General features: G+C 43.9%; 1 annotated feature.

Moving 5' to 3' along the window:
* Nucleotides 1067-1742: an enhancer, noted in NCBI's record as "OCT4-NANOG-H3K27ac-H3K4me1 hESC enhancer chr10:29448375-29449050 (GRCh37/hg19 assembly coordinates)". NCBI's record gives its function as "activates a minimal SCP1, AML or CMV promoter by ChIP-STARR-seq in naive and primed H9 embryonic stem cells {active_cell/tissue: H9 hESC(naive and primed)}" and the evidence as "EXISTENCE:reporter gene assay evidence [ECO:0000049][PMID:30033119]".

Consider the following 7567-nt stretch of genomic DNA (forward strand, 5'->3'; position numbering starts at 1 on the left):
TATTAGCGAATGCATAGTCGGCTTTAGCTCTCACATTCATCAGAAGCACTTCAGGGAGAGAAAATTAATGATAATCCTAAGTACATAATGACTTGCTGGAGACCAGAAGCCTCCACTCTGATGGGTCTGACTGGAGCTTTGCCCCCACAGTAATGAAAGATGCCGCCTGTGAGCTTGACCTTGGCTTGGTTCATGCTTCAGAGTAAAGCGCTGCAAAGTTGGTAGGGACTGCTTAATCTCTTTCCTGGTGACTGAAAGCAACTTAGATTGGGACCATTGGGAATAGTGCTGTACTTGGTTATTTTAAAAAAGACAGAAAGAAACTCTTTGCTTTCAATATTTCTTTCCAGTGTAAACATAAAAGCTCACAGAGCCCCTAGGAGAGTAGTACACAGGGCACAGAAAAGCAAGTTATTGTGCAAAAAAAAAAAAAAAAAAAAAAAGAAAAAAAAGAAAAGGGTGCAGCCTTCCTATTAAAAGCACATTGGTTCAGTAGTACAGCTAAAGACAGAAATCAACCATACCCAGCCTAGTGTGTCAGTGAAATTGATGCTTTCTATTTTTCAGAACATGAATTGTGCAGCTATTACCCAGCAAGACACTTAGAAGTGGCTTTGCAATGTCATGCCTTTCTCCTCGATGCTGACATGGGGAGTGATTGCTTTAATTCACTCCTGGGTACCTAGAACTTGGTTGGGTGGCTATTGTTCCCAGTAGAAGGTGTCCAGGTTCTTGGCATCTTAAACAAAGAATTGATTTGGACAAAACGCACAAACAAAGCAAGGAAAGCAAGAGTAGGGATTTATTGAGAAGGAAAGTACACTCCACAGTGTGTGGGAGCGGGCCCAAGCGTAGGGGCTCAAGAGCCCAGTTACAGAATTTTCTGAGTTTCAATACTCTAGAGGTTTCTGTTTAGTTACTTGGTGAATTTCTTTTTTTTTTTTTGAGACAGAGTCTCGTTCTGCCTCCCTGGCTGGAGTGCAGTGGCGCGATCTCAGCTCACTGCAACCTCTACGTCCCACGTTCAAGCGATTCTTGTGTCTCAGCCTCCAGAGTAGCTGGGACTACAAGCAGGTGCCACCATGCCTGGCTAATTTTTGTATTTTTAGTAGAGATGGGGTTTCACCAGTTTGGCCAGGCTGGTCTTGAACTCCTGACCTCAGGTGATCTGCCTGCCTCGGCCTCCCAAAGTGCTGGGATTACTGGTGTAATCACCAACCTGGCTGCTTGGTGAATATTCTATGTAAATGAAAAGAAAGAAGTGAAGTCACAGAGTCATTTACTCAGAATCTGCCCTATTGTAAATGGAGAGGCTGTTACTTGGAGTGTGTGGTCTATGTAAATGGAGAGGATGAATGTGAAGTTACAAAGTGTAAATGGCGGGACTGGAGAGGAGGAAATGAAGTTACAAAGCCATTCACATTCCTGTCATTGCTGAAGTGCTTTCATTTGATTTAGTTCTAGGAACTAAAGGTGTGGATGGGCCTTATGTTCCCTGCCTCCGGGCCCTATTCTCCTGCCTCAGTTATCACACATTAGACTTAGTTGTTATTTTTCTTTTTTCGATTCTCACTAAGGTGTAAATGTCTGATATCAGAGTTTGTTTTCGAAATTGGAGAGGAAAAGGGGGAAGACGCCTGTGTCTCACCCAGGCCCCTGAAATAGGAGCAAGAGCTTGGTGGAGTCCTTGGAAATTGTTTAAAGGGGAAACTGGAGGCAGGTAGAAGGCTTCACAGTTCTGTTAAAGTGGCCCTCACTGAGGTGTTGTGCTAGGAAGAAAAGACCTTGGGCATAACAAAGCCACATCCCAGACAGCCTGCAGCACACTCCTGTTGCCAGAGCTGGTGACTCACTATGACTATCCTTGTGGTTTCTGCTGGGCAGCTGGGCTGGGCCATTTAATGTTCATCATTAATTACTGTTGTCTCGATTCTTGTCATTAGAGTATCAACAGGTTTAAAATGAGCCTGAGTTTTTTATGTTGAGATCAAAGGCAAACCAGTTGGGAGATGGTGGGCAGAGGGGTAGGAGAGAGGAGGGCCGAGTAAAGGGTGTTTCTGGGATTTCCACTGCTCCGGGGTAGGGTTGACCCCACCGTGGTACAGAGACACCGATGGGTTGTTCAGCAACTGAAGCACCAGCTTCCTCAGAGTCACTCTTGCCAAGAGTCAGGCGATGGCTTTATCTGGAGCCTCACAATACTGGTCACTTACTCCTTCCAAAGGCGTGAGGCCTCTGAGGTTAGAGAACCAGCATTTCACAGAAGGGAAGGAGAGGGGAATGATGGAGACTTCACCTCCTCAGGGCAGAGTCCAGTGGCCAGATGAGTGGGAAGTCCTCTGATCCACAGCCCTTGCCCTCACTTCTTCTGGTTTCTGGAAGAGCACAAGTAGAGCTGGCCTGTCCCTCTTGAGTCATAACAGGGACCAGAGAACCTTTTGCTAAGGTTGTCCACTGTAGGTGCCCCATTCATGCCTCTGTACAGTGCCCACTTCTCCTTTCAGGAACTTGGGTGCTCTTGGACATGGCTCTTTCTTGGCCTGGTGTCCTTGAATCCCGCTCCCCCAAAAGCTTGTAAAGCTCTTTTGATGAGAATCAGGGGTCACCAAACTGGCTCAAGAGTATAACTGGAGTGAGGGGGCTGTGTGAGGATGGGAGCAGGCTGTCAAAGGCAAAAGCCATGCCATTTGAAAGGTAGCCATCTGGGTGCCATAGCACCTGCATTCTTTTAAAATATATATTTTAGGCCTGGTGCAGTGGCTCATGCCTGTAATCCCAGCACTTTGGGAGGGCAAGGAGGGTGGGTCATGAGGTCAAGAGATCAAGACCTTCCTGGCCAACAAGGTGAAACCCCGTCTCTACTAAAAGTACAAAAATTAGCTGGGCTTGGTGGTGCATGCCTGTAGTCCCAGCTACTCAAGAGGCTGAGGCAAGAGAATTGCTTGAACCTGGGAGGCAGAGGTTGCAGTGAGCCAAGATCATGCCACTGCACTCCAGCCTGGTGACAGAGCGAGACTCCATCTCAAAAAAATATATATATGTGTGTGTGTGTGTGTGTGTGTGTGTGTGTGTATAATATTTTGGGCTGTAATCAGTGGCTCATGCCTCTAATCTCAATGCTTTGGAGGCTAAAGTGGGAGAATCACTTGAGGCCAGGAGTTCAAGACCAGCCTGGGCAACATAGCCAGACCCACATTTCTAAAATAATTTTTTAAAAAATTAGCTGGATGTAGTGGCATATGCCTGTCATTCTAGATATTTGGGAGGCTGAGGCAAGGGGACCTCTTGAGCCCAGGAGTTTGAGGCCACAGTGACCTAGGATCACAACACTGCACTTCAGCCTGGGCAACAGAGCAAGACCTCATCTCTAAAAATATATAAATAAATACACAAATAAATAAATAAATATTTTATTGATATATAGTTTTATGCATAAAATAGATAGATTTTAAGTGTAGAGTTCTATAGTTTTGACAAATGTATCCAAATTACCAATACTCCAAAGAAGATCTAGGACATTTCCACCCCAAGAGTTTCCACCTGTCCTTCCCAGCTCCCCCATCCCATCCCAGAGACATCATTGTTCTGATTTCTGTTCTCCACAGCCTTTGTCTACCCAGGTAGACACTAGTGGTGGAACGCTTGCATCCCATACCCTCACATCATGGAACTAGCCCTCCACCCTCCCCCTTCTCTGCCAGGCGCATGTTGATACAGCTCTGAAGAGTGGAGGAACACCAGGTTCTTCGTCTGGAGTCAAATTAGATAAAACGACGCGGACACACTGGAGTGGTTTTAAGAAGCGGAGAGTTTAATTGGCAAGAAAGAAGGGGAAAGAAAGAAAGAAGAGGTCCCCTGTACAGAGACAGAGGGAGGAGGTTTCCAAAGCTGAGAGAGGGAATCCCAAGTGTGGTGGATACCAGCCAGGTATATGCAGAGGCTGGAGGAGGCAGTGTCTGATTTGCATAGGGCTTAGGGGATTGGTTTGATCAGGCATGACATTCACATAGCCCTTGAAAAAGCTGGCCCTCCCACCCTAGCCATTTAGTACGCAAATGCAGGCGCCATGATGTTCTACACACGTGGGGATATGTGGGGGCGGCCATGTTGCCAGGAACATGTGGATCAAAGTCAAGAAGGCCGGGAATCGCCATGTTTGGATGGACCCAGTTTCTAATGGCTGGCATTTGAATAGCAAAGGTTGCTGACCTGGCTTTAAGAGCTGCTTTAAGAATGAAAACTTCCCAAGGACCCCTTTTTCCTGTCTATCTGCCTAAAATAATTTCTTAATAACTCCTACAACAGCATTTACTTGAATACACCTGTTGTGGGGGCAGAGTGTATAGCAGAGGTGATAAAAGAGGAGGAGAAGAAGCTCAGAGATGAGGATGGTAGCTAAAGTGCCATTGATCTGCCTTGGGCAGGTATTAAGCTGGATTCCGAGTAACCAGGATGGGAGAGGAATCTTGCTGGATTAAGGAGTGTTTTGTGTAGAGGAGGAGAGAAGAAGGAGGATAAAAATTTGTCCCTAAGACAGGAGGCAGCCTGGCCTCAGAGAAAGGCTCTGGGGTTGACAGCCCTGGCATTGCAGACACACTCACTAGCTCTGTCATCTTGGGATGCTTCCAGCTTTTGTGTTGGTGAATTGAGGTAATCATTTGGACTGTTAGTTAGGGGTGTTATGAAGTTTAAATGGGATAATGCAAATAAAACACCTATTGTAGGGCCTGACACATAATAGGTATTTCATATGTGATAGTAGCTGTATTACTGCTGCCAGGTAATCCCAGTTCTTAGTAAATGCTTTTCTTTTCTTTCTTTTTTTTTTTTTTTTTTTTAATTGAGACAGAGTCTCACTCTATTGCCCCGGCTGGAGTGCAGTGGCAAGATCTTGGCTCACTGCAATCTCTGCCTCCTGGGTTCAAGTGATTCTCCTGCATTAACCATAGTACAGTTCCATTTGGCCAATAAAATGACGAATTATTCAGAAATTTACAGGTCCTGTTTTTAATTATGCAAAAAGTCATTATTAAAGAGTGTTTTGCTATAACTAGGAGCTGAGCTTCCTTTAAACTTTTATTGCCGCAGTAGGCTACCAAGTGAAAAACAAAAGAAAACCAAAATAAATGGACATAGTTCAAATCACAGCAACAACAACAAAAAACAATAAATAAAACTCCAAACCCAAGTTAAGCACTTAGTCACTTCATCATCAAATAAGACCAGGGATACTGAATTCAGATGAATAGAACCGCTTTGGATAAAAAGATGGCACTGACCAAGTCCCAGCCCAAAGTGTGGGCCAAACCAGACACAGCTGCTTGGGCACATAGAAAGTTTTCTAGATGTTGTTTTGATTTTATGTTCAAAATTCAGAGGGAGAAAAAAAAGTTGAGCCCACTGTAGGGTGGGAATCACCAGGTTACCTGCAGCCAGACACGGTGAAGATGATACATGGACACTAAAACACACAGACAGAAGAGTAGCTGGGTGTGAGAAAGCCCAAGGAAGAAGTTCCCAAGTAAGAAACATCCTGGACAGGATGACCTCAGAGTTTCCTTCCAAATCTGGAAATCCCCAGTTCTCTGTCCAGCCCTCCCAGCCCTCAGGGGAGCCAGGCAAACACAGTGAGAGATGGAATGTCATCTATGACAGGAACATCTGTAAGAAAGAGGCACTTTTCATTTTCGATGAGGCAGAGGGTTACAAGGAAGGGTTAGGGGACCTTAGTTTCTGGTTATGATGTAGAAAGTCAAAAGAAGCTGTCTGCCACTCTTGCCCTAAAAACCAAATCAAGAAGAATCAGTGGGACAGGAGAAATCTACTTTAGATGGTAGGGAGAAACCCTTCAAACTTGTAAGAAAGTTTTAATGGCTATGTGTGAGATAATGTGAAAAATTAGAATGTCAAGGAGTTCTATCCACAGAGCAAATCTGTATCCACTTATCAGCTTTTTAATGTAGGTTTTCACCAAGTTCATGGGTGGTTATGTTAAACGCTGGGACCAGATAGCTTAGAGAGATCCTCACAAAGTATGATGGGTCTTCCCCAGGTGCAAGGCAGCCGATGTCTAAAGGTGGAGGACAGACCAGGAGAGCAAAGAGAAAAGCATCTAAGGCACTATGGGCTTTTAATGACCAAAGATTAGGGAGGGGCAGGCACACCTTGCTTTCAGATTTAAGAGGAACAGAAATTTGAGGACAGGCACAGAGAGCAAAGAGAGGTCATTAGTGATCTCTTTGCAGCCAGGCTGTAAGGCAGAGGGAGATCTCCTATGGTTTGTTGGAAAAACTGACAGCTTTGTGTATAACACAAAGAAATCTGTGGACTTTCAAGTTTTCACATTCTAGAACCTGCTGAAGGGGAAAAACTTACCTCTGTCTCAAAACATTTGAAGCCAGTGGGAAACTGAATCAAACTAAAGCTGAAACAAAGCTCAGACCCAAACTGACACCTATCAGATAGAGTTAGCCCTCCAGTCTTGAAGCCTGGCAAAAGAAAGGGCATGACATTTCTTAGGAGTATTATTTATTCCCCTTTCTGGTGTCCTTTTATATAAAATATCTGTTAGGCAATAAAATTTGGGGGAACTTTGAGATGAAAATAAACATTAACCATAGTCAAGAGAAGAAAGAGTCAATAAAACACACCTAGAGATAGTGTAGACAGGAATTTTAAAATATCAATAAATATGCTTAAAGGATGTAGTGGAAAAGGTAAACATTGTAGGAAAACAGATGAGAGTTTTAGTATAGAAATAGAAACTATGAAAAAGAAGTAAAAGAAATGCTAGTGAGATTTTGCTTCTGATTGAGATGGAGTAATCATGACTTGATTAACTCTTCTGTGTGAAACAAATGAAAAAAAAATCAAACAATAGCAAACAATGATTTCCAAGACAATGGGCATTAAACAACAAGAGCAGTGATGCCTCAGACACAGATAATAAAATTGATGAATCCTACAAATGTTCCAGTTTATTGCCTTGTAACAGATTCCAGGCTGTGACACAGAGAAAGAGACCCAGCTGCAGCCCAGAAGACTCCTGAGTTGAAGAGATGGAGTGGAAAGTCTGGGATACCAACTTAGCTAGAGTGTGTAGGACAGAATACCAGAGAGGGAAATTGAATAAAGAAATAACTCTGGAGAGCTACAGAGAGTCTCCATTAAGTATCAGGGAGAATATTGATCAGTGCATGTCTATGCATTCTCCTGAGGCTTGGAGGAAAAAAAATCACCCCAAAATATTAGAAGGAATAGTAACTGGTGCTCATGTAGGGATAAAAATGATGTTTTCCCCCCACAGCCTAGAGAAGAAAACCTTATACATCACACTTGGTAGTGTACCTATATATTAGTGACCTTGGGGTATGATAACAAAATACCACAGACTGATTAGTTTAAACAACAGAAACGTATATTCTCACAGTTCTGGAAGCTGGAAAGTCCAAGATTCAGGTTCTGGCAAGGCTGAGTTTCTAGTGAGGGCTCTCTTCTTTGGCTTCTAGAAAGGCACCTTCTTGCTGTGTCCTCATATGACACCAACCTCTGGTGTCTCTTCCTTTTT

This window comes from Homo sapiens, chromosome 10 (genome assembly GCF_000001405.40).
Source record: "Homo sapiens chromosome 10, GRCh38.p14 Primary Assembly".
Taxonomy (NCBI): Eukaryota; Metazoa; Chordata; class Mammalia; order Primates; family Hominidae; genus Homo; species Homo sapiens.